Source organism: Homo sapiens, chromosome X, assembly GCF_000001405.40.
Source record: "Homo sapiens chromosome X, GRCh38.p14 Primary Assembly".
Taxonomy (NCBI): domain Eukaryota; kingdom Metazoa; phylum Chordata; class Mammalia; order Primates; family Hominidae; genus Homo; species Homo sapiens.
In genome coordinates this window covers 150912469-150940024 of record NC_000023.11, presented here as the reverse complement: position 1 = coordinate 150940024, position 27556 = coordinate 150912469, and the positions used below count along the sequence as shown (strand labels likewise).

Sequence of the window (27556 nt, the reverse complement as noted above, 5' to 3'; positions counted from 1 at the left end):
CAGTGAAGTTTCAAGATGAACCTGAAACATCCGGTGCTGCCAAGAAAGTCAGGATGTGTTCAAAGAATGATGGGACCATGAGAAAAGGGGCTGCCACTGACCAAGTCTGGGACGATATGAGCATCAAAATAAACAACGAATTGTATATAAACCATGGAATAGGAGTTCATGAGCCCATGCCGATATAAACAAACAGGCAAACAAATGGGAGAGAAGGGAAGGCCCTTCCTAGAGCAGAACGCCAGCTAATAAATGTAGAAGGAACGATAGCATGAGAAAATCATAATTTGGCAACCATAATGATAACAACTAATTCAGGCAGGAAGTATCAATAGATGCTAAAACTAGTGGGTGAAAGTTTAATGAGGAACAGAAATTTATACAATCGCAAGATACCTCCCCCGATACTTATTAATTGTTTATAAATTAATAAGTACAAAAGCCCTGCTAATTCACGTTACAGTGGAAAGATCTGACAAATAACACTTTAATCAAGTGATCAAAGTTAATGTTATCAGTAATGATAGCATTATCGTTATTCCGTATCATTACTCCATATTACATTAATCCATATTATATGCCACCTGATAGGGTGTACTGAGAACACATCACTCCCAAGGTATTCCAGAGGGAATATCAAGCAAATCCAAACTGAGGGACATTCTATATAATACTTGGCCTGTACTCTTCAAAAATGTCAAGGTCATAAGGAACAAGGAAAGACTGAGTAACTATTCCAGATTGCAGTAGACCAAAGAGACAACACAACTACATGCAACATATGGTCTGGGATTGGATCCTGGACGAGAAAGAAAACCAGGAAAAATAAAGTTGTTGTTGATGATGATGATGATGTTGATGATGATGGCAAAGATTTTTGTTTGTTTGTTTGTTGTTTTCACTACAAAGAGCATTAATTATTTGGACAATCAGGGAAATTTAAGTAAAATCTATGGATTAGGTAATGTCAAATGCTAATTTCCTGATTCTCATTGGTGTACTATGGTTTTGTAGGACAGTGTCTTTAATTTTAGAAAACACACACTCAACTATTTAGGGGTAATGGAGCGTCAGGTCAGCAACTTACTTTCAAATGATTTGGTAAAAATAATAGTGAGAGAGACAGAGCAGGAGAGAGAGAACCATAAGACACATATGGTAAAATGTTAACAATTGGGAATCCACAGAAAGGTTAAAGAGGTAAAGAGTCCTTTTGTTTTGTTTTGTTTTGCTTTGTTTTGAGACAGTGTCTCACACTGCCACAGGCTGGGATGCAGCGGCGCAATCATAACTCACTGCAGCCTCTATCTCCTGGGCTCAAGCCATCCTCCCACCTCAGCCTCCTGAGTAGCTGGGGCTACAGGCACATGGCACCACAGCTGGCTAATTTTTATTTTATTTTATTTTTAGTAGAGATGTGGTCTCATTATGTTGCCTAGGCTGGTCTCAAACTCCTGGCCTCAAGTGATCCTCCCACCTCAGCCTGCCAAAGTGCTGGAATGGCAGGCATAAGCTACCACACCCAGTCAGTAATGAGTTCTTTGTACTAGTCTCACAACTTTTCTATAAGTTTAAAATCATTTCAAAATTAAAGCTTGTTTTTAAAAAGTATGAACTCAGGTCTCCTGCACCACTTCCTTTCTTTTCCTTTCTTGTAAAACATACAAGAAATAGACTTGTATGTTTTATTTATCTATTTATAATGTGGGCCACATATGTAATTATTATTATTATTATTATTATTAATTTTAGAGCTGAAGTCACACCTGGCTGTCCAGGCTGGAGTACACTGTCTATTCACAGGTGCCATCATAATATAGTATAGCTTCAAACTCCTGGGTTCAAGCCATTCTCCTGCTTCAGCCTCCCAAGTAGCTGGGAATGCAGGTGTGCGCCAGCACAATCTCATGTTTAGGTAACATTTGCAAGGCTACTTTTGGCTTTAGATGAACGAACCCCAGGCACACTGACTTACGGTCACACTTTGGTTGTCCTTCTAACTGCATATTATCCTTGATCCCTCAACTTATTCCTCAAACTTTACTTTCTAGAAATGAAAGCCATCCTTAGTGCCAAAGCTCCTTTATCGTGGAGGCTGTCACAAGGCCAGGCCCCACTGCCTGGAGCGTTCTCACCTGCCCCACTTGGGTGGCACCCACAGGGCTGCCCAACTCAGGCCTTACATGGTGAAGAGAATAATGGCCCCCAAAGATGTCCATGTCCTAATTCCTAGAACCTGTGAGTGTGTTACCTTAAATGGCAAAAGAGACCTAGCAGATGTGATTAAGTTAAGGATTTTAAGATGAGAGAATTATCCTGGATTATTTGAGCCAGCCCCCTGTAATCACAAATGGTCCTTATAAGAGGGAGGCAGGAAGGTGAGAATCAGAGAAGAAGATGTGATGATGGAAGCAGAAGGAGAAGTGATGTGGCCACAAGCCAAGGGATGTAGGCAGCCTCTAGAAGGCATAAAAGGCAAGAAAACACATTCTCTCCTAGAGCCTCCAAAAGGAATGCAGCCCTGTCTTAACTTTAGTCCAGTGACACCCATCCGAAACTCCTGACTTCTAGAACTGTAAGATAATAAATTGGTGGCCAGGCACAGTGACTCACACCTGTAATCCCAAAACTTTGGAAGGCCGAAGTAGGAGGACTGCTTGAGCCCAGGAGTTTGGGACCAGCCTGGACAACATAGCAAGGCCCTGGCCCTACAAAAATAACAAAATAATTAGCTAGGCGTGGTGGCATGCACCTAGGTATGGTCCCAGCTACTTGGGAGGCTGAGGTGGGAGGATTGCTTGAGCTTGGGAGGTCGAGGCTGCAGTGAGCTGTGATGGCTCCAGTGCACTTTAGCCTGAAAGACAGAATGAGACCCTGTCTCAAAAAACAAACCAAAGAAAGTAATAAATTTGCATTGTCTTGAAACCACTAAACTTGTAGCAATTCCTTACAGCAGTGGCAGGAAACTAATGCACCTTGTTTCTTCCACTCTGGAGAATGTGGAGCTCCCCAAGGCCTGAACCATGTCTTGTCATGTCCCCATCCCTTGCAGGGCCTCCTCACCTGAACCCTGACCCCTAGTTGGCACTCAGGAAAAGTTTGTTTGAATTCACTCAGCCGGGAGAGGCATTGAGCCAGGGGGTCATGACAAATGTGCAAGGCCTCTCGCCCCTCTCTGAAGGAGTTGGGTTTCCTATGGATGTTCACATTCTGTTCTGTCTGCCCAAGACTGGTCTTGCTTGGCTGTGGTCGCACCACCAGCTGTGGGGATCGTAAATGTGTCTGCTGGGGGTTGGGGTGAGAGGCGTTTGAATGCCTGGGAAAGGAATCCCAGACCCAAAGACTCTGCCCAGGAAGCGTCTGGAAGCCTCCTTACCCTAGCTCCCAGCTGTGCAGGGAGAGATGCTCTTACAATGCCAGGAGGGCAGGGCAAAAGCTGAGAGCTCTGCTACCTGCAAGTCTAGAGCCCAACAACTGGGTCCAGCTGGTGTCTACACAGATGGCAGGACCCCAGGTCACTGAGCTTTTCACTTTCCAGAACTGGGGAGGGGAAGAAAGGGGACATCTTACGTCCCTGTGTGCATCAGAATATGGGGTAAGGCATAGTTTAAAAGACATATTTAGGGATGGAAATGTTCTGAGCAGAGATGGTGGTGATGATTGCACAACTCTATAAATTTTCTAAACATTACTGAGTTATACACTTGCAATTTGTGGTATCTACATTATACCTCAATAAATCTGTTAAAAAAAATTATAACATCTCTTTAGAAAACCCATAAGGAGAGCTGTATTTTCCCAGCGCAAACCACTGGAGGTAAAGTTTGCATTCATATTTTTACTGGTGAGGTGTGGGTTTAAAAAGCTGGGGCCCCTTGGCAGCCCACCAGGGACTCGCGGGGCAGACACTCGGGGAACTCATAGCTCTCCTTTGTCTACAGATACCGCCTTCCTGCCCTCAGGGAGCTCCCAGTCGGGACAGAGAGAAAGTGCAAACAGAAATATCTAAATGCCCGGGATGCCCAGGAGTGACAAGGATCAGTGTGACCAGGGGAAGCAGGCCAGGTACCGGGGACTCCAGAGTGGGGAGAGGAACTGGCAGGAGATGGAGTTCCCGGACTTCAGCCTCTGTGCCCCACCCCCAACCAGGTCCCCACACCAACCCCCTCCTGCCAGCTGTCTCCCCCTGTGCCTTCCCTCTAGCCCTGCTTCAGCTCAATCCATTACCTTCTGTTTACAGCCTCTTCAGACAGTTTTCCTTGGCTTGATGCAAGCCAATTTGAATTAATTTTCCAAGCATGACCCTGTGAGTCACTGTATTAAATGCCTTCCACATAGTTCTCATTGCTGCACACACACGGTGCATTGGCCAACCATCTGCAATCACAACGAGGTGCCCAGCCCCACAGAGTGGCGCCCAGCACGAGCAACAACATTCCCAAGAGTGGCCCTGGTACAGGCCAGGTGCAGAAGGATCCACGGCACACGTTCTTCCAGGGCTCCTTGGAAATAAAGCGAGGTGGGGCAGCTAAGGAAGGACTGTCCAACAATCAGCTTTCTTTCATTTAAACAGCTTTATTGAAATATAATTCACATAGCACAGAGTCACCCATTTGAGGTGTACAATTTAATGGTTTGTAGTGTATTAACGGAGCTGTGCAACCATCACCAGCCAATTTTAGATATTTTTGTCACTCCCCAAAGAAACCTCATACCCTTTAAACTATTTTCCTCCTACATCTCTCTCCCCCTGACCCTAAGCAGCCAGTAACCTACTTTCTGTCTGTGTAGATTTTCCTAGTCTGGACTTTCATTTGAATGGAAGTATATGATATGTGGACTTTATTGGTCAGCTTTTCAAAAGGAAAATTGCCAAAGGACTGTAGAGCAGCATTTTGCGGGGAGGTGGGTTCCTCCATATTGAGAGGAAGGTGGGCAGAAAAGGGAGAGGCTCTCACTCCATCTTTGCAGGAGCATTTCCAGGTGGGATGTGAAAGGGGTAGCCCTCCACTCGGTGTGAGCCAGTCCCACCCAGCCACAGCCTAACCTTGTCCTCCCACCTCGGGAAAGCCTCAAGTTCTTGTGCCCACAGAGACCTACCCTTTCTTATGCCTTTAACATATCCCCCAGGCTGGTCTCTCGTGGAGCTGCCATCCCAAAAGGAGAGAGAGAGAAGGAGAGCTGCCTGTCCAATTTTCAGGAGGAGCTAGAGGGAGCCCTGTTTTCTTTCACAGCCCAGGAGGAGAGGCTCCCCCACCTGCTTACACAGTCCATTTCCTAAAGGGTGCCTGCCATCACAGGAATTTACTGTCGGCCTCTTCCTTTCTCCTTGCTGAAGCAAATTGGCCTTTCTCCAGTTCACAAGAGCATCACAGAGAATGCTGGCAGCCTCCCTGCAGAGTCATCACCTGACTCGCTGTGTAATCCACAAAACCCGAGCTTCTCAAGGTTGGAGGCTTGGAGGCTGTCTGGCCCAGACTGCTACACGCAGCATGACACCACCAAGGGCTCGTCCAGGCTCTGCTTGGACACCTCTCCTCTCCTCACCACCTCTTGAGGCAGCCCCTTGCCTCCTGGTAAAGCCCTGTAGGAAATTCCCTGCTACCTTGAGCTGAAGCCTGTTTCCCTGTAACAACCTTCTTTTGTTCCCATTTTTATGGCTCTGACTTGGAGAGAAAGTTGAATTCCTTCTCTCTTTTATAGCCCTTAAGGAATTTAAGACAGATACTAGCCCACCTCAAGAGTCTTCTCTCGTCCAGCTGAGAATAGCAACCACACCACAACCATACTTATATGAGCACAGCAACACACACACACACACATAATATGGAAGAATCAGCCAAGAATCTCCTTGAGCTGCTGTCTGTGTAGGCTGGAGAACCAGGAAAGTCAATGATGTAATTCAGTGTAAGTCTGAAGGGCCAGGAACGAGGAGCACTGATGTCTGAAGACAGGCGAAGATGGATGTCCCAGCTCAAGCAGGGAGAGCAAATTCACCTTTCTTCTGCCTTTTTGTTCTCTTAGGGCCCTCCACAGACTGGCTGATGCCTACGCACAGCGGGGAGGGAGGCTTTTCTTTACTGAGTCTACCAAATCATATGCTAATCTCTTCTGGAAACATTCTCATAGGTACAGCCAGAAATAATGTTTGACCAGATATCTGGGCATTGTTTAGCCCAGTCAAGTTGACGCATACAATTAACCATCACAGTCACTTGTGCTTTTGGTGTCATATCTAAGAAACCATTGCCTAATTCAAGGTCATGGAGATTGACACCTACATTTTCTTCTAACAATTTTAGCGTTTTAGCTCTTACATTAAGGTCTGTGATCCACCTTGAGTTAATGTTTGTATATGATGTGAAGGAGGAGGTCCGAATTCATTCTTTTGCATGTGAATGTCCAATTTTCCCAGTACCATTTGCTGAAAAGACTATTCCTTCTCCCATTGAATTGTTGTGGCACACTTGTGGAAAAGCAATTGACCATAGCTGTGAGGTTTTGTTTCTGGAATCTCAATTCTACTCCATCGAATAGACATCCATTGACCTATATGTCTATCCTTATGCCAGAACTCTGCACATGCAATTTTTTATTCAGGGTTATAAAGACAATATAACTGCAAAGAAGTATTCTCCACAAGACATATTCTTTGAAGCAGAAATGTTTTTAATTTTTTTTTTTTTTTTTTGAGACAGAGTCTTGCTCTGTCACCCAGGCTGGAGTGCAGTGGTGCAATCTCGGCTCCCTGCAGCCTCCGCCTCCTAGGTTCAAGTGATTCTCCTGCCTCAGCCACCCGAGTAGCTGGGGTTACAGGTGTGCGCCATCACATCCGGCTAATTTTTGTACTTTTAGTAGAGACAGGGTTTCACCATAATGGCCAGGCTGGTCTTGAACTTCTGACCTCAAGTGAGCTACTCCTCTCAGCCTCCCAAAATGCTGGGATTACAGGTGTGAGCCACTGCACCCAGCCAGAAATGTTTTTAATTTTGATGAAGTTCAATTTATTTATTTTTTTCTTTGGTTGCTCGTATTTTTGTTCCCATATGAAGGAAACCATTGCCAAGGTCACAAAGATTTACCCCTATGTTTTCTTCTAAGAATTTTATAGTTTTGAAAGTTGTAGCTGTCGTATTTAAGTCTTGGATCCATTTTGAGTTAATGGCAAGGATGGCTTCTTTGATTTACATTCTGTTGGGCTCAATGTCTCAATTCCCCAAGGGCTTCTGAAGAGGAAGTTCAGTCGGAGCTCCTTTTGCTACAACTTCATCAAGAGATTTGGGAAAAGCAACATTTCATTAGCAGGTCCTGAGGAGCCTCCTGCCCCACCCCCACACCTTTGGAGGGAGAGACTGAGCATGGGCAATTTTTTTTTTTTTTTTTTTTGAGACAGTGTCTTGCTCTGTCACCTAGACTGTAGTGCAGTGACACAATTATGGCTCACTGCAGCCTCAAACTCCTGGGATCAAACAACCCTCCAACAACAGCCTCCCAAGTAGCTAGCACTACAGGCACACACCACCATGCCTGGCTATTTTATGTTTCTGTAGAAGCAGCATCTCACTATGCTGCCCAGGCTGGTCCCAAAGTGATCCTCTGGCCTCAGCCTCCCAAAGTGCTGGGATTACAGGCATGAGCCATCAAACTTGACTGAGCACAGGGATTTTTTTTTTTTTTTGAAACAGAGTCTCACTCTGTTGCCCAGGCTGGAGTGCAGTGACATGATCTCAGCTCACTGCAACCTCTGCATCCCAGGTTCAAGCGATTTTCATGCCTCAGCCTCCGGAATAGCTGAGATTACAGGTGTGTGCCACCACACCCAGCTGAATTTTTCTGTTTTTTAGTAGAGATGGGGTTTCGCTGTGTTGGCCAGGCTAGTCTCGAACTCCTAGCCTCAAGTGATCCACCCACCTTGGCCTCCCAAAGTGCTGGGATTACAGGTGTGAGCCACTGCACCCAGCCAACACAGGGATTTTTAACCACTTCTCCCCCTTTCAAATGAAGAAACCTAGGTTCTGGAGGGGAGGTGGCTGGCCAAAGATCACACAGCCAGCAGGTTCACAGCTGAATTCCAATCCATGTTTTCTGATTCCAAATTTCACGTTCCTTCTATTCTGCCACAATGCCTGCCTACAATGAAACAAGCAAAAATCAGCCGGGGACAGAAAGCCAGACCAGTGGGGCAAGAAGGAAAGACGGTGAGTTCACAGCAGATCACTCAATGAGTATCTGTCAGCAGTGAAGGATTGGACATAGGAGAATTTCCGGGTCTTTTAGAAGAACAGGAGTAACATTTGCTGCAGTGTGGGTAGTTTCTGTGAAAGAAGGCCCTGTGAAGAAAAATAAAGGAACTGAGATGATTTCACCTACTGCAAAGGCCTCAGAGTAAATTAATGGTGCTTTTCCAGGATATGGATGTTCTGTTCAGAAGCTATTGTACATTTCTTGTTTGCCCTGAGACGCAAACAAGAGCAAATGACATGGCCTTCCATCATGGTAGGAGAGATTTAAATTAGCCCCCAAGAAGAGTGGAATTGTTAATTAAAAAGATTCTTTAGTGATGGCCTTGAAACAGTCCATCCACTGGGACCCTTTTAGACTGCCCTTCATCCTCTCCTGAGGCAGGGACCCAGTCAGCCTTGGGCCCATGGTTACCAAGCATGTTGGTCGTGCAAAGCAGTGCCCTGGGACTGGAAGTGGTGGAGAGGCTACATCACACAGGAAAGCAGATTTTTCCTTGTGGTATCTCCAAATGGGAGGATCCTCTACAGAAGACATAGAATAACTAGGTTGTGAAGTCTCTTCTTTCTTTTTTTTATTTGTACTTTTTTGAGAGAGGATTTCATTTCCGTCGCCTAAGATGGAGTGCAGTGGCGCAATCATGGCTCACTGCAGTCTCAACCTCCCGGGTTCAAATGACCCTTCCACCTCAGCCTCCTGAGTAGTTAGGACTACAGGCGCGTGCCACCATGCCTGGTTAATTTTTGTATTTATTGTATAGATGGGGTTTCGCCATGCTGCCCAGGCTGCATGGTTTCAAACTCCTGGACTCAAGCCATCCTCCCACCTTGGCCTCCCAAAGTGCTGAGATTATAGGTGCCCGGACCTCTTCCTTCTCTTTTAGCTCTCACTGGTAGTCTTCTGAGAGACTCTGTATTAAATATTATCTCTAAAAAGGAACTGTGGCTGGGCGCGGTGGCTCACGCCTCTAATCCCAGCACTTTGGGAGGCCGAGATGGGTGGATCACCTGATGTCAGGAGTTCGAGACCATCCTGGCCAACGTGGTGAAACCCCGTCTCTACTAAAAATACAAAACATTAGCCAGGTGTGGTGGCGGGTGCCTGTAGTCCCAGCTACTCAGGAGGTTGAGGCAGGAGAATCACTTGAACCCGCCAGGTGGAGGTTGCAGCGAACTGAGAATGTACCATTGCACTCCAGCCTGGGCAACAAGAGCGAAACTTGGTCTCAAAAAAATAAAAATAAAAATAAAATAAATAAATAAAAAGGAACTGCACTGTGGTAGGCTGGATAACAGCCCCCCAAGATGGCCTTGTCCTTATTCCTGAAACCTGTGAATATGTGACCTTACATGCTAAAAGGGGTAGATGTGATTAAGTTAATGATCTCAAGATGAGATTATTTTGGACTTTCCAGGTGGGCCCAATGTCATCACAAGGGTCCTTTGAAGAGGTGGGCGGGGGGTCAGAGTTGGAGATTTGAAAATGTTGTGCTAGGCCGGGCGCGGTGGCTCATGCCTGCAATCCCAGCACTTTGGGAAGCCGAGGCGGGCAGATCACGAGGTCAGGAGATCAAGACCATTCTGGCTAACACAGTGAAACCCTGTCTGTACTAAAAATACAAAAAATTAGCCGGGCGTGGTGGTGGGCGCCTGTAGTCTCAGCTACTCGGGAGGCTGAGGCAGGAGAATGGCATGAACCCGGGAGGTGGAGCTTGCAGTGAGCCAAGATCATGCCACTGCACTCCAGCCTGGGAGACAGAGCGAGACTCCGTCTCAAAAAAAAGAAAAGAAAATGTGCTGCTGGCTTCGAAGATGGAAGAAAGAGCCATGAGCCAAGGAAGGCAGGTGGCCTCTGAAAGCTACAAAAAGGCAAGGAAATAGATTGTCCCCTAGGCCTCCAGCAGGAATGCAGCCTTGCTGACACCCTCATTTTAAGTTTTCTGGGCCGGGCGTGTTGACTCACGCCTGTAATCCCAGCACTTTGGGAGGCGAGGCCGGTGGATCACGAGGTCAGGAGTTCAAGACCAGCCTGGCCGAGATGGTGAAACCCCATCTCTACTAAAAATACAAAATTAGCTGGACATGGTAGCAGGCGCCTGCAATCCCAGCTGCCTGGGGAGGCTGAGGCAGGAGAATGGCGTGAACCTGGGAGGCGGAGGGTGCAGTGAGCCGGGATTGCATCACTGCACTCCAGCCTGGGAGACAGGCTGGAGTCTAAAAGAAAAAAATCTGATAGCCAGAATTGTAGGGCAATACATTTGTGTTGTTTGAAGTCACTAAGTTTGTGGTAATTAGCTACAGCAACAATAGGAAACTGATACATCCGTTAAGCTAAAGGCCAGTCTTAGCATTATAGAACAAAACAGACTATGGGTAAATACCAATTATCCTAAAGAACAAAGTACAGGTTATTTAGGAAACTTAGGTTTACTTGGAGACTTAGGTTTACTTGTTGCATATCAGTTGAATTCCAGTGATCATTCAAAACTATGGGTGGAACTAACCCAACGTAATTAAACAAAACAACCATGTAATAACAAGATAGCTGAGGGTGAGGCCCTCATATAAGTTTAGTAGAATAGGAACTATATATTATATGAGTATATATGTAAGAATAGCACGAATCCATGACATATTTTTGGACACCTTTATTGAGATATAATTCACATTCCATACCATTCACCAATTTAAAGTAAGTAATTCAATGGTTTTGAGTACATTCACAGAGTTGTGCAACCATTACCACAGCCAATTTGATTTCATTTTATTATTATCTTTTTTCTAAAGTTAGGATCTTGCTCTGTCACCCAGGCTGGAGTGTAGTGGCTCAGTCACAGCTCATGGCAGCCCCAAACTCCTGGGCTCAAGCAATCCTCCCACCTCAGCCTCCTGAGTAGCTGAGACTACAGGCACGTGATGCCATGCCTGGCTAATTCTTCAAAATTTTTTGTAGACATAGGGTCTGACTATGTTGCCCAGGCTGGTCTTGAACTCCTGGGGCCAAGCCATCCTCCTGCCTCGGCCTCCCAAAGTGCTGGGATTACAGGTACGAGCCACTGCACCCAGCCCTGAAGATGTCTGCTTCTCATCCTGATGTCCTAGCTAAGAGAAGGAAAAGAAATACAATTGACCCTGGATGGGAGGGACCGTCGGCTTTGCTCCAAAGCTGCAAGATATTGCCAAGACTGGAAGGTGTTCTGGGTTGAATCAAATCCCCTAAAAAGATATGGTAATGTCCTAACCCCTGGTGCCTGTCAATGTGCCCTTATTTGGAAATAGAGTCTTTACAGATATAATCAAGTTAAGGTAAGGTCATAATGGAGTAGGGTAGGCCCTAAATCCAATGTCTGATGTCCTTGTGAAAAAGCCATGTAGCCGAGTGGCTCATGCCTGTAATCCCAATGCTTTGGGAGGCCAAGGCAGGAGGATTGCTTGAGCCCAGGAATTGAAGATCAGCCTGGGCAACATAGCAAGACTCTCTCTATCAAAAAAGAAAACTTTAAAGCCATGTAAAGACACAAGGACAGAGACACATGAGGAGAAGGCCATGTGAAGACAAAGACAGAGATTGAAGTGATGCATCTACAAGTTAAGGAATGCCAGGAATTGCCAGAAGCCACCAGAAGCTAGGAGAGAGGCCTGGAACAGATCCTTCCCTAGAAACTTTAGAGGGAGTACGGCCCTTGGTGACTGTTTGGTAAACTCATAAGCAAATACAGTCAGCCCTTCATATCCTTGGATTCTGCATCTTTGGATTCAACCAACCTCAGTTTGAAAATACTTGGGGAGGCTGGGAGCAGTGGCTCATGCCTGTAATCCCAGCACTTTGGGAGGCCGAGGCGGGTGGATCACCTGAGGTCAGGAGTTCGAGACCAGCCTGGCTAACCTGGTGAAACCCCGTCTCTACTAAAAATACAAAAAATTAGCCAGGTGTGGTGGCAGACACCTGTAATCCCAGCTCCTCAGGAGGCTGAGGCAAGAGAATCGCTTGAACCCAGGAGGTGGAGGTTGCAGTGAGCCGAAATCGAGCCATTGCATTCCAGCCTAGGCAACAAGAACAAAACTCCACCTCAAAAAAAAAAGAAAAGAAAAGAAAAGAAAAGAAAATATTTGGGGAAAAAAAAAACAATGAAAAATAACAACACAGCAGTAAAAATACTACAAATTTAAAAAACAATACAGTCTGACAGCTTTTTGCATAGCATTTATATTGCATTAGTTATTATATCTAGACATAATTTAAAGTATAAAGGAGAATGTTCATTGGCTACACACAAATATTACACCGGGCTGGGGATGGTGGCTCACACCTATAATTCCAACAGTTTGGGAGGCTGGGGTGGGCAGATTGTTTGAGCCCAGGAGTTGGAGACCAGCCTAGGCAACATGGTGAAACTCCGTCTCTACAGAAATCAGCCAGGTGTGGTGGCATGCACCTGAAGTCCCAGCTACTCAGGAGGCTGAAGTGGGAGGATCGCTTGAGCCCAGGAGGCAGAGCTTGTAGTGAGCCGAGATCGCACCACGGCACTCCAGCCTGAACAACAGAGCAATACTTTGCAAAAAACAAAAACAAAAAAACCCACCATTTTATACATGGGAATTGAGTATCGTTGGGTGCTGGCATCTGCAGGGGGGTCCCAGAACCAATCCTCCGTGGATACAGAAAGATGACTGTATAGCTCAGACTTTAAGCCAAGCACAGTTGAGGGCACAGAGTAGAAACTCATAAAGGCCTGATGATTGCTGGGCAAGCCAAAAGCTACCTGGGGAAGAGCCAGCAAGGCCTCTGCCAAGGTGAGATCACAAAGCAGATGGGAAAATGTATGTCTTCCTGGCCACAAGGCAGAATGCCTAAGGCCCATAGGCCTTTGTTTCTTCCCTCCTCACTTTCTGATCCACTAGTAGCTCTCAGAGCCTGTAGATGGTCCAGACATGAAAGAGGTGAGAGCTAAGGGGTTCCCCTGGAATTCTTTTTATTTCTTGTGATTCCACTTCCCTTGAGGTCTCACTTAAATTTTTCACCCAACACTCCGAGGTTCCTCTAAATTAGCAGGACTTGTTTGAAAATAACTGAAGAACAGATAAGTACTTGAATTAAATCACTAAATCCGGAAGTTTCAATCATTTCTTGGAGTAGACCCTGCAGAGTAGATTTGTTAAGATAATGAACATATACCCCTTTTAACCATGTTCTGCCCTTTCAGATGCCCAGGCAGAGGCAAGCTCTGCCCACAGCTCTAGGCTAAGGGAGCAGGATCCTCTATACTGGGCAAACTGGTCTGCCAGGACTGAACAGTGTGGCCCTCTGCATGCCTCCTATTATTCCATGGAACATTCCAGCAAGTTCCAGAGCAGGCAGGGCATTGCACATAACACAGCTCAGTCAGACCAGTGGAAACTGTCTTTAGCAAGGAGCAAATGGACACCAAATGCCCTGTTCCTGAGTGCATACCTCTGATTGCAGTGCCTTTTTGAAGCCGATCACATCAGGAATGTTTTATTTGTTCCCTACAGTTGTTATAACAGATTACTAACAACTTGGTGGCTTAAAAAAACACATATTTATTCTCTTACGTTTCTGGAAGTCAGAATCCAAATCAGTTTCACTGGCTCCAAACCAAGGTGTATGCTGGGCTGCCCACCCTCAGGAGGCTCTAGAGTATAATCCATTTTCCTGGTTTTTTCAGCATCTACGGCTGCATTCTTGGCATTCCTTGGCTCATGGGCCCTTCCTCCATCTGCAAAGCCAGCAGCAGAGCATCATGCTTCAGTGGTCACATGGCCCTTCTCCTCTGTGTGCAATGTCCCTCTGTCTCTCTCTCTCTCTCTCTCTCTCTCTCCTTTTTGGGGGGGGGCGGGGGGACGGAGTCTCACTCTGTTGCCCAGGCTGGAGTGCAGTGGCACGATCTCGGCTCACTGCAACCTCCGCCTCCCGAATTCAAGCAATTCTCCTTCCTCAGCCTCCTGAGTAGCTGGGATTACAGGCGTGCACCACCAAGCCTGGCTAATTTTTGTATTTTTAATAGAGATGGGGTTTCACCATGTTGGCCAGGCTGGTCTGGAACTCCTGACCTTGTGATCCACCCACCTCTGCCTCAAAGTGCTGGGATTACAGGCATGAGCCACCGAGCCTGGCCCCCTCTGTCTCTCTCTTATGAGAACACTTGTGATTTTATTTAGGGCCCATCCAGATAATCCAAGATAATCTCCCCGTGTCAAGATCCTTAACTAAATCCCATCTGCAAAGTCTTTTTTGCCATATAAGATCGCATTCACAAGCTCTGAGAATCAGGACATGGCCATCTTTGCAGGCCATTATTCAACTTCTCACAGGAGTAGAGGGGAAACTGTCTGCCTGTGGGTTTGGAATCTACATTGACCAACCCAAACCTTCTGCCCCAAATGGCAATGAGAAAGGCTTCAGGATCCCTCAAGAGGCTCTTTTACTGCTGGTCTGAATTACAATGACACCAGTTCCCATTGTGCTAAGGTAAACAGGGAGCACCGCTCCTGAGATCAACAGCAGCCACCAACCACTGGTCTTGTGGACACCTGGACCTCAGGTCAGCACCATATTCCCTGATTACTGCTTCTTGTTAATAGGTCACCTGCTTTTGCTTACTGATGTATCATGGCACTTTCCAGCCTTCATATGTATGGTAGAGCCCATTACAGACGCAGCAGAGTGAACCACATCTGCTACCCCAAGGAATGCCCTGTCTCAATGCCTAAATTTCTTCCAAGGGCATAGTGGCATGCCAGCCTGCCAACTGGTCCCCCTGACAACCCTCCTGACCCCTCACTGCCCCAGAATGAACTTCCCAATGCCCATGTCTCCCTACATCACACCCTGATAAGCCCTTCAGTGGCTCCCCATGGCTGACAGCAGGATCAAGTTCTATGGTCCCCACTTGATCAGGCCCTGTAGATGGGTCAGCCCCATCTTCAACAATACCTCCTTTCTCTACCTACAGCTTTTACTCCCTCCTCTCTGGATTACTTTTGTCTCCTGAAACAAACCATGCTACCTTGGTGCCTTTGTTTGTTTTAAATACAGAATGGGGTCTTGCCATGTTGCCTAGGCTGGTCTCAAACTCCTGGGCTTAGGCAATCCTCCTGCCTTTGCCTCCCAAAGTGCTGGGATAACAAGCATGAGCCACTGCGCCCGGCCTTTTGTGCCTTCGTTGATGGCAGTCTCTCAGCCTGGAATGCCTACATTCTCTTCTGAAATCCTCCAAATGCACTCAGCTTTCAAGGCTTCACTTATTCAAGAGCAGTGAGGAGATAGTTTGTGCCTGCTGGGCGTCAGGCTGGCTAAAGCACATACAGTATTTCCTTTAGTCATCTCAACAGCCCTACAAAGTAGGAAAGGCTAGTCCTGTTTTCCTCCAGATATGAAAACTAAAGCACTGAGATGGAAGGAGATTTGTTCACAGCCACCTAGTGAGTAAGTGATCAAGTCTGTGGTCGGCTCAATACTGATCCCCAAAGATGTCCATGTCCTAAGCCCCAGAACCTGTAAGTGTTACCTTATATGCCAAAAGTAACTGTCAGATGTGATTGAGTTAAGGGTCTTGAGATGGGGAGAGTATCTTGGATTATCCAGGTCAACTCTAAATGCAATCACAAGTGTCCCTTATAAAAGTGGGGCACAGAGAGATTAGACACAAAAGAGAAGATGTGAGAATAGAAGCAAGAGCTTGGAGTGCTGCAAGGAAGGGGCCATGAGCCAAGGAATGCAGCCAACCTCTAGAAGTTGGAAAAGGCACAGAAACAGATTCTCTCCTAGAGTCTCTAGGCGGCCTGCAGCCCTGCCCGTGCATTGATTTTAGCCCAGTGAGACCAATTCTGGGCTTCTAACTTTCAGAACTGGAAGAGAATTAATGTGTGTTATCCTAGGCCACTACGTTTGTAGCAGTTTGTTACAATGGCCAAAGGAAACTAGTACCAAGAAAGAATGTGAGTTTAAATATCTCTGACACCAGAACTCATGTTCATTCTTCTCTCTGTGCAGCTTCCCAAGGGCCACTTCCTCTAGGACAATTTCCCTCACCACCCCCTCCAAAAGCAATTCTTTCCTTGTCTGTCCTTGCACTTCTGTGTATCTGTTATTCACTTTGAAGGCCTGCCTGACCTATGCCATTCCCTCAGGGTTGGGACTGGGTGGTGTATGCATCTGTGACCCCAGCAACTGCACAGAGGTTTCAAATGCATTCACGAAGGAATTCATGTATGTATGGCTACATACAGCCCAAGGGGGCCGTGGGAGTTGTTTGGGCCCTATGCCCTGACACCAAGCTTATTTAAGAGGTGTCTGTTCCTAACACACAGGGAAACCTCACATCAGGGTGCAGTATATATATGTATTTTTGAGACAAGGTCTTGCTTTGTTGCCAAGGCTGGAGTGCAGTGGTGCCATCATTACTCACTGCAGCTTCTACCTCCCAGGCTTAAGCAATCCTCCACCCTCAGTCTCCCGAGTAGCTAGGACTATAGGTGTGTGTCACCCTGCCCAGCTAATTTTTTGTAGAGGTAGGGTCTTGCTACGTTGCCCAGGCTGGTGTTGAACTCCTGAGCTCAAGTGATCCTCTTGCTTGGACCTCTCAAAGTTCCGGGATTACAGGCATAAGCCCCAGCCTGGATGCAATATATATATATATATATATATATATATATATATATATATATATATATATATATATATATGTATGTATATAGACGTGTATGTGCATATATGTGTGTGTGTGTGTGTGTGTGTGTGTGTGTGTGTGTATATTTTTTTTTTTTTGAGACTGGGTCTCTGTCACCCAGGCTGGAGTACGGTGGCACCACCATGCCTGGCTAATTTTTGTATTTTGTTGTTGTTGTTGTAGAGATGAGGTCTAACTATGTTGCCCAGGCTGGCCTTGAACTCCTGAGCTTAAGCAATCTGCCCACCTCAGCCTCTCAAAGTGCTGTGATTACAGGCGTGAGCCATTGTGCCCAGCCAATCATTTTAAAATTGAGATAAAACTCACATAATATAAAATTTAACATTTTAATCCATTCTACAACATGAATGAACTTTGTTTTTTGTTTTTGTTTTTATTTTATTTTGTTTTTAAGACAGGGTCTTGGAGTCAGGTGTGGTGGCTCACGCCTGTAATCCCAGCACGGTGGGAGGCTGAGGCGGGCAGGTCTCGAAGTCAAGAGATCGAGAGCATCCTGGCCAACATGGTGAAACCCCATCTCTACTAAAAATACAAAAATTAGCTGGGTGTGGTGGTGTGCACTTGTAGTCACAGCTACTCGGGAGGCTGAGGCAGGAGAATCGCTTGAACCCGGGAGGCGGAGGTTGCAGTGAGCCGAGATCATGCCACTGCACTTCAGCCTGGCAACAGAGTGAGACTCCCTCTTAAAAAAAGAAAAAAAAAGACAGGGTCTTGCTCTGTCACCCATGCTGGAGTACAGTGGTGCCATCTCTGCTCACTGTAGCCTTGACGTCCCAGGTTGAAGCAATCCCCCCATCTCAGCCTCCCAAGTAGGTGGGACTACAGGTGCATGCCATCATATCCGGGTAATTTTTTGTCCATTTGTTTGTTTTTGTAGAGATGAGATTTCGCCATATTGCCCAGTCTGGTCTCAAACTCCTGAGCTCAAGTGATCCACTTGCCTCAGCCTCCTAAAGTGCTGGGGTTACAGGCGTGACCCACCACACTTGGCCGACAAATGAACTTTGAAAACATTATGCTAAGTGAAATAAACCGGACACAAAAGGCCAAATATTGTTTGATTCCACTTATATAAAGTACCTAGAATAGTCAAAATCATTGAGAGCAAATAGATTAGAAATCTCCAGTGGGGTCTGGGGGCGGTGACTCACGCCTGTAATCCCAGCACTTTTTTTTTTTGGGAGGCCAAGGCGGGCAGCTTGCCTGAGGTCAGGAGTTCGAGACCAGCCTGGCCAACATGGCAAAAACCCATCTCTACTAAAAATACAAAAATTAGCTGGGTGTGATGGCGCATACCTGTAATCCCAGCTACTCGGGAGGCTGAGGCAGGAGAATTGCTTGAACCCTGGAGGCAGAGGTTGCAGTGAGCTGAGGTTGCACTGCTGCACTCCAACCTGGGTGACAGACTGAGATGCCATCTCAAAACAAAACAAAACAAAACAAATCTCCAGGGGCTGGGGGAAGGGAGGGAGTAATAGCAAGTATTTAATGGGTATGGAGTTGCAGTTTAGGATGATGAGAAAGTTCTGGAGATGGATGGTGGTGACAGTTGCACAATATTGTAAATGTACTTAATGTCAATGAATTGCATACTTAATAGTGGTCAAAATAATAACTTTTATGATATATATAGTGATAATAAAATGTTTAAAAAAGACATTTACCACTTAACCATTTTAAAATGTACTACCTGTGGTTTCTAGTACATTCACAGAGTTGGGCAATCACCATTATAAAATCAATTTTAGAATATTTTCTTCACCCTACAAGAAACCCTGCACCCATTAAGGAGTCATTCTTCATCCCTCTCCCCCCAGCCCCTGGAAACCATTCATCTGCTTTCTGTCTCTGTGGATTTGCCCATTCTGTACATTTCATATAAATGGAATCATACAACATGTGTCTGATTATGTGTCCTATCTTCTGTGTCTGGCATTTTCCATTTAGCCTAATGTTTTCAAGGTCCATCCATGTTTGAGCACAGATCAGTATTTCATTTCTTTTAATGGCTGAATAATATTCCATTGTATGACTGGATCACATTTTGTTTATCCATCCATTGCTTGATGGACATTTGGTTTGCTCCCACTTTGGCTATTATGAATGATGCTGCTATGATCATTTGTGTACAAGCATTCCTGTGAACATGAGTTTTTATTTCTCTTGGGTATATATCTAGAAATGGAATTTGCTGGCTCACATAGTAACTATGTTTATCAAGACGCAACTTGCAGTAGAATCCAGCGCATCAACTCTGAGTCTCTGAGCTGTTGGAGGACATAGACAGCCTAGAAAACAGAAGGGCAAAGGCAATTGAAAGAATCTCCTTTTTAGCTCATACTTCCATTTTTCTCCCACCCCAAAGTGGGTCTGTTATTGAGTCACAAAATTGACAAGTTTGAGTTTGAGCTCCCCTCCTGAGCTGTGAAATCAACCCAAGAGTAGGGTTTCAGTTGGCAGAGGGGTGGTCAACTGGTACATCTGGAGTTGACTTTGTCTATTATCTTTCTAATCATCCCTTTAGCCTAGAAAGCCTTTGCCTTTAGAGCTGTTGGGCCAAAATCTAAAATCAGCTTGTGAAAGTGCTGTCTCGCAGCCTCCTGGTATGTGAGAATTTGTCCATACTTGATACACAAATAACTATTTTGCTATTGACTGTTCCTCAGCCTGATCTATTCAAATGAATCTCTTTGAAGACATGCCACCTACAGATCACGGTATTTCAACAACATTTGAACTCTTTCCAAGTATAATCTGTAATAATTTCTTCATTTTCACAATATTTGCCCTTTGAAACAGGCCCTGAGCTTGTGCGTTTAAAGGGGGGAGTGGGATTTAGAGAATGTCAAGCAAGCGAAATGGTTTAGGTTGGTTCATTCTGTTCTGTGCCCATGAATAGCGCTTGATTCATGGACCGCAAGTGGAATGTTGAACAGGACAGGCTCGTCATGGGGTACAGCAGAATTAGACTCAGCATACTCTCCAGACTTTCTCTCTCTGACCAGATGGGCAAGCCAAGCCTCAAATAAGCACAAATCCTCTGATAACAGTTTATACTTCCAAACAGCCCACAGGAAATGGGACCCTTGATAAGAGAAGCAGCTTCACTTGTAAATTACAAGCATTCACTTACTAACATTTAAACTGACAATTATCACAGCTTCAAATGCTGGGCTCCATTGGAAAGCAAGTCAAGTTGTTCATCTGTTGGGTTGGTGGCTGATCCCTTCTGTGGTTTGCTTACAAGTGAAAACCCTGCTGCTGGTTGGAACCCATTCTGCTTGATTTGGACTTGACAGAAGTACCTGGTACAAAGGAAAAGACCTTTTAGCAGGGAGAACAGGGTGGCAGGTGTGGCCCCCAGGGGGCCACTGAAAAGCCACAGCAGGGTAAGTCACACTGCCTGCAATGCTGCAATGGCACTGAGCCCATGTGAAGGCACAAGGCCTGGTTTATGTTGCCACTGCCTTCCTGTGTGACCTTGGACAAGTTGTTCCCCATTTCTGGGCCTCAGTCCCTTCCTCTTTAAACATGGGGGCTGAAGCAGATTACACTGAGGGAGGCCCCTGCTCTATTGTGCTGTGCTTGGAAAGCCTCTCATGTAGCTCTCAATGCAGATCTGATGAAGAACCTGCAAGGACATGGATTACATTTCATTTTCTTTTTCTTGTTTCTTTTCTTTTTTTTTTTCTTTGAGACAGAGTCTCGCTCTATTGCCCAGGCTTGAGTACAGTGGCGCTATCTCAGCTCACTGCAACCTCCGCCTCCTGGGTTCAAGTGATTCTCTTGCCTCAGCCTCTTGAGTAGCTGGAATTACAGGTGCCCGCCACCAAACCCGGCTAATTTTGTTTTGTATTTTTAGCAGAGAAGGGGTTTCCCTGTGTTCGTCAGACTGGTCTCGAACTCCTGACCTCGTGATCCGCCCACCTCAGCCTCCCAAAGTGCTGGCATTACAGGCGTGAGCCACCGCGGCCGGCAGCATTTCATTTTCAAGAGATGAAGGGGTGTGTTGAGAAATGCACTTTACACATGTACCCTAAAACTTAAAGTATAATAATAATAAATTTTAAAAAAAAAGAGAGAAATGCACTTTAGAATTGTGTTGTCTGGAAAGGATAGGCTAGGCCCCAATTCAGCAGCTAGACCCTGGCCTTGATCTATATAGAATCTTAGAAATCGTTTCAGTGTGTATGCTTTCCGCATTCATCCTGTTTCTAAAGACACGATGACTCCTTTTCTTGACAACTAAAAGCTCCTGGCATGAGCTCTCTCAGTCTCACTCTCTGAGCTCTGGATCACAGGGTGAGTGTGGAAAGGTGGGCAGAAAAATCTGTGTATGATTCCGTTCAGCCATGGGTGGGACGTGGCAGAGCCTCAGAGGTGTGTCTCAAATGTGGGGCTAACCAAAGGACCTGCCAAACCTCTTTTTGCTTTTCTCTAGCAGTTTTGGAACCCAGACTTTCCATATTATCCTGGCTCAACCCTCATGCGGGAGGAGAGTCATGGGGCCTCTAGGTTGAAAAGGACCTCAAAGGGAGACTAGGCTGGATATCTTGAAGAATGGGAACTCCCTTCCTACAGAGGCAGCTCCTCCATCTTGAGGTTGTTCTGCCCCTTAGGAAGTTCCCGAATCCAGCCAGGCAGGCATGGTGGCTCATGCCTCTAATCCCAGCACTTTGGAAGGCCAAGGCGGGGAGGATCACTTGAGGCCAGCAGTTAGAGACCAGCCTGGGCAACATAGTAAGACTCATCTCTACAAAAATAAAAATTAAAAAAATTAGCTGGGTGGGGTGGCATGTATCTATCGTTCTAGCTACTTGGGGGGCTAAGGCAGGAGGATTACCTGAGTCCGAAAGTTTGTGTCTACAGTGAGCTATGATCATACCACTACACTCCAGCCTGGGTGACAGGGTGAGACTCTGTCTCTTTTAAAACAAGAAAGTTCCAGAGTCCATCACCCTGTAGCTTTTCCCCTTTATCCTTATTTTCATAAGCTGAGGCCACAGAATACAGATCAAATTCCCCAGGAGCTCCCTCCAGGAGTCTCCCTCATCACTCCTTTCCTTTTTACCCCTTACAGTCATCTTTTTCTCCGGTCCAAACACTCACCAAGATTATTCATTGTATGAAAATTCCGACTTCCATAGGTCAGGTGCAGTGGCTCACACCTGTAATCCTAGCACTTTGGGAGGCCAAGGCGGGCAGATTGCTAGAGGTCAGGAGTTCAAGACCAGCCTGGCCAACATGATGAAACCACATCTCTACTAAAAACGCAAAAATTAACTGGACGTGGTGGTGCATGCCTGTAGTCCCAGTTACTCGGGAGGCTGAGGCAGGAAAATCGCTTGAACCTGGGTGGCAGAGGTTGCAGTGAGCCAAGATCACACCACTGCAGTCCGGCCTGGGTGACAGAGAGAGACTCTATCTCAAAAAAAAAAAAAAAAAGAAAAAGAAAGAAAAGAAAAGAAAAGAAAATTCTAACTTCCCTTTAACATCCTGATCACTGGCTCCTGAAGCAAATCCAGCCTGTTAATGTCTCTCAGAGAGGCTACTGGTACCCAGAACATGACATGCATCCAGGCACTGTGAGCTGACCAGGAGATGAGTGGGATATCACCTCTGTCCGTCTAGAGCAGAATAAGCTCCTCAGAGGGTATAGGGATAAAAGATGTACAGAACTTTCTGTTGTGATTCAGGAAGCATCTCTAACTCTCTTAGCCCGTTTTCTGTTGTTTATAACAGAATACCCCAAACTGGGTAATTTATAAGGAAAAGGAATTTATTTCTTACAGTTGTGGAGGCTGAAACGTCCAAGGTTGAGGGGCTGCATCTGGTCAGGGACTTCTTGCCGGCGGGGATTCTGCAGAGTACTGAGGTGGCAAAGGACATCACATGTCGAGGGGGCTGAGCATGCTCACTCAGGTCTCTCTTCCTTTTCTTATAAAGCCACCAGTTCCACTCCTGTGATAACCCATTAATCCATTAAACCATGAATGGATTAGTCCACTCATGAGGGCAGAGCCCTCATGACACAATCATCTCTTAAAGGCCCCACCTCTCAATGCTGCCACACTGGGGATTATATTTCAACACGGGTTTTGGAGAGTAAAAGTCCTGAAACCATAGTAATAACCCAGATGTCTCTTATTGTGCCTCCTTCTCTTCCCACCTACTTAGCCAACATAATAACAGTTAAAACAAAACAATACGAAAGGATATCGCTTGTTGAGAGCTTACTATGTGCCAGGCACTGTTCTGTGCACTTTCCATGTGTATCAATGTGTTTCCTCTACACAAAAGCCTTAAGATGTAAGTGCCATTATTTTGCCCATTTTGTAGATCAGGACACTGAGGACCAGAGAGGCAAGGTGACTTGCCCAACTTTAAACAGCCTGGCTGGCTCCAGAGTCCATGCTCTCTACATCTATGGCTGGATGACACCTTCTATATACTGAATGAATGACTGCGTGCCCGTAGTCTGTCATTAGCAATAAGCAATACCAGGCCCCAATACTGGCTTCAGGAACCCCCTTCCCTATGCCTTGGGTCCACAAATGCAAGGTCCTGTAATACATAGAAGCAGAGGTCCTGCCCTGGCATCAGGAAAGCTAAAGGTCAGGGATACTCATCCTGGCTCTCTACTGGTCCTCTTGAATGGAGCCCCAGAACAATAAGCAGCCCTGTTGGGTTGGCTTGGTCTACCAGCCTTGATTTCAAGGCTAAGGCAGGGTGGAGGACGCAAAAACCCACCCTGTAAAGATCCTCTGGATAAAGGCAGAAGACCCCCTTCCCACTGACCTGGCCATTGTATAAAGGATCTGGGGAGCTTTGCCTGCTTATAGATATGGTAGAGACCTGGCGAATAGCTCCTTAGACACATTCTGCCAGGACTCCCCAGGACAACACAGCTGTTGGGAGTTGGGGACTCCTTGAACCCTTTTTCTGAAGCAGAGTGAATGAGGAACCCATTCTCCCTTTTCTGACTGTAAGCCCTGTAGCACACATCTGTCTACCAGAGAGGCAGTTAAGAACAGGGGTATGTAAGCCAGGCTTCCTGGGTTCACATCCTGGTGCTGCCACTCACCAGCTGAGTGACCTTGAGCAAGCTACTTAACTGTGCCTCAGTTTCCCCAGCTGTAAAATAGATATTAAAATAGCACCGATCTGTCTTAGTCCACTAAGGCTGCTATAATAAGATATCATAGATTGGGTTGCTTAAACAACAGCGATCTCACACAGTTTTGGAGGCCGGGAAGTCCAAGATCAGGGTGGTGGCAGATTCGGTTTCTGGTGAGAGGTCTCTTTCTGGCTTGCAGATGGCCATCTTCTTGCTGTATCCTCACATGTCAGCAAGAGAGAGAGAACACTAGTGTTTTTTATTCTTATAAGGGCACCAGTCCCATCAAGGGAGCCCCACCTTCATGAACTAATTTCCTCTCAGAGGCCCCACCTCCTAATACCATCACATTGGGAGTTAGGGGTTTTTTGTTTTGTTTTGTTTTTAGTTTTTTTGTTTTTTTTTAGATGGAGTCTCACTCTGTTGCCCAGGTTGGAGTGCAGTGGTGTGATCTTGGCTCACTGCAACATCTGCCTCCTGGGTTCAAGTGATTCTCCTGCCTCAGCCTCCTGAGTAGCTGGGATTATAGGCTTGCGCCACCACGCCCAGTTAATTTTTGTATTTTTAGAAGAGACAGGGTTTCACCATGTTGGTCAGGCTGGTCTCAAACTCTTGACCTCGTGACCTGCCCGACTCAGCCTCCCAAAGTGCTCGGATTACAGACGTGAGCCACCACGCCTGGTGGGGGTTAGGGTTTCAACATAGGAATTTGGTGGGGGGACACAAGCATTCAGTCCATAACACTATCTCATAGGGTTTTATGAGAATTGAGGAGCTAATGCCTGTAAAATACTTGCTCAGTGTCTGGTACTGAGCTTTATTGAGATATAATTCACATATCATATAATTCATTCACATATATATATATATATATATATTTTTTTTTTTTTTGAGACACGATCTCACTCTGTTGCCCAGGGTGCACTGCAGTAGTGTAATCATGGCTCACTGTAGCCTCAAACTCCTGGGCTCAAGCAATCCTCCCACCTCAGTTTCCTAAGTAGCTGGGACTACAGGCATGAGCCACCATGCCTGGCAAACTTTTAATTTTTTTTTTGTACAGATGGAGGTCTCACTATGTTGCCCAGGCTGGTCTTGAACTCCTTAGCCTCAAGCAGGTCTCCTGCCTTGGCCTCCCAAAGTGCTGGGATTACAGGTGTGTGCCACCATACCCGGCCATTCACTCTTTTAAAATATACAATTCAGTGGTTTTCAGTATATTTACAAGGTTGTACAACCATCACCATCTAATTCCAAAACATTTTCTTCACTCGCCAAAGAAATCCTGCTCCTCTTTGCCATCAACTACCAACCTCCTCCCGCTAGCCCTAGGCAACCACTTATCTACTTTCTGTCTCTATGGATTTGTCTATTCCGGACATTTTGTATAAACAGAATCATATAATATGTGGTCTTTTCTGTCTGGCTTCTTTCACTTAGCATCATGTTTTCAATGTTAATTGATTTTATAGCATGTATCCATACTTTATTTTTTTACGGTTGAATAATATTGCATTTTATGAGTAGACCATATTTTGATTATTCATCCATTGATGGATATTTGAGTTATTTCCACTTTGGCTATTAAGAATAAAGTTGCTGTGAACATTCATGTACAAGTCATTGTGTGGATATGTGCTTGCTTTTTTCTTTCTTTCTTTCCTTTTTTTTTTTTAGACAGGGTTTTACTTTGTCACCCCTCACTGTAGCCTCAACCTCCCAGGCTCAGGTGATCCTCCTACCTCAGCCTCCCAAGTAGCTAGGACCACAGGCGCACACCACCACACTCAGCTAATTTTTCATATGTTTTGTAGAGACAGGATGTTGCCATGTTACCCAGGCTGGTCTTGAACTCCTAGGCTCAAGCAATCCACCTGCCTTGGCCTCTCAAAATGCTAGGATTAGGCCGAGTGTGGTGACTCACACCTGTAATCCCAGCAGTTTGGGAGGCCAAGGTGGGCAGACCACTTGAGGTCAGAAGTTCAAGACCAGTCTGGCCAAAATGGCAAAACCCCCTCTCTACTAAAAATACAAAAAATTAGCTGGGCGTTGTGGTGCACGCTGTAATCCCAGCTACTCATGAGGCTGAGGCTGGAGAATCGCTTGAACCCCGGAGGCCGAGGTTGCAGTGAGCTGAGATGGCGCCACTGCACTCCAGCTTGGGCAACAGAGCAAGACTCTGTCTCAAAAAAAAGAAAAAAAAAGTGCTAGGATTACAGGCGTGAGCCACTGCCCCCGGCCTGAACATGTGCTTTCAATTCTCTTGGGTATATACTTAGCCGTGGAATTGCTGAGTCATATGGTAACTCTATAGTTAACTTGTTGAAGAACTCCCAAATTGTTTTCCATGGTAGTTGCACCATTTTACACTCCTATCAGCACTGTATGATTTTCCACATCCTCACCAATGCTGGTTAGTATCTGCCTTTTTGATTACAGCCTCCCTGGTGGCTGTGAAGTGGGATCTCATTGTGAACTAATTGCTTCACTTTAGAGAGTATTTACTGGTTTCATACTGGGGCTGGGTCCAAAAGTGAGAGAGACCTGGGGAGACAAGGCTTTGGAGAGGAGACAAATCTTTCAGGATTTGTTGTGAGTGGTCAGAGATAGGGGCGGGGGAGGTGTCCAGGAGGGGAGAATTGCCCAGATTGAGTGTTAGAGACATCAATGCACCCGCTGCATTTTGGAAATGAACAAGTTTGTACCATAAATGCAGTATCAGAGGTGTAGGAGGCATGCCAAAGGCTGAGACTTGGGGTGCCTGGATGCCAACACTCAGTAGCTTGGTTTTATTTTGAAGATGAGTTGCCATTTATGAGCTGGGGCGTGAAAAGAAGAAATCTATTTTAGGATGACCATTCTGATTGCCATGTGGAGCCTGGGTTGGTGGGTGCAGCAATGAAGGCAGTGGGACCAGGGAGCAGCTGGACAAGGGTCCAGTAATTCCCATTCGAGATGGAGACAGCAGGAGCCAGGTGGAGGTGGTGGCGGCAATGAAGCAGGGAGGGCCCAAAAAGACACAGTAAGCAGACAGTGAGCAGATCCCCAAGTGGAATACTTTCACTTAGTTCTCTCCCAATCTTTCACTGCAGAAAGATAGTCTTGGAAAAATTGAAAAGTCAGAGTTTCTAAAGGAAAATCCCCACAGGTGATGAGGACAGGGGGTGAGGGACAGGGCACTGCTCACTCCCCCTTACTCTGGGCCCAGGGCCACCCGGCATGCTGGACTCTGATGGAAAGAGTGGAGGTGACAGAGGAAAGAGAGATCCCTGTGCCAGGAGCACCAAATATTCTCCTCTCCACGAAGCCAACTTGGACAATGTTTATTTTGCACCAATCATATGCATGGCTCCCAGAGAGAAACGCAAGGTACGATGTGTCCCTGACTTCCAGAATCTTCCTCTTGAGATAAATTCAACATCAAGGTATATTTGAAAAATAATAGAAAATAGAAATGCTCACACAAGGAGATCACAGATGATTCCTTA

General features: G+C 45.9%; 1 long non-coding RNA gene across 1 annotated transcript, besides 1 other annotated feature; it reads right to left on the bottom strand.

Moving 5' to 3' along the window:
• Positions 13904–14738: an enhancer, noted in NCBI's record as "H3K27ac hESC enhancer chrX:150093760-150094594 (GRCh37/hg19 assembly coordinates)". NCBI's record gives its function as "activates a minimal SCP1, AML or CMV promoter by ChIP-STARR-seq in naive H9 embryonic stem cells {active_cell/tissue: H9 hESC(naive)}" and the evidence as "EXISTENCE:reporter gene assay evidence [ECO:0000049][PMID:30033119]".
• On the bottom strand, positions 19087–22823 carry LINC02927 (long intergenic non-protein coding RNA 2927). Its single transcript, NR_186570.1, has 3 exons — positions 22742–22823; positions 20089–20256; positions 19087–19239 (listed from the first exon to the last, which is right to left on the bottom strand). It is a non-coding gene; the product is annotated as a long intergenic non-protein coding RNA 2927 (long non-coding RNA).
• Between the last annotated feature and the right edge of the window lie 4733 nt (positions 22824–27556).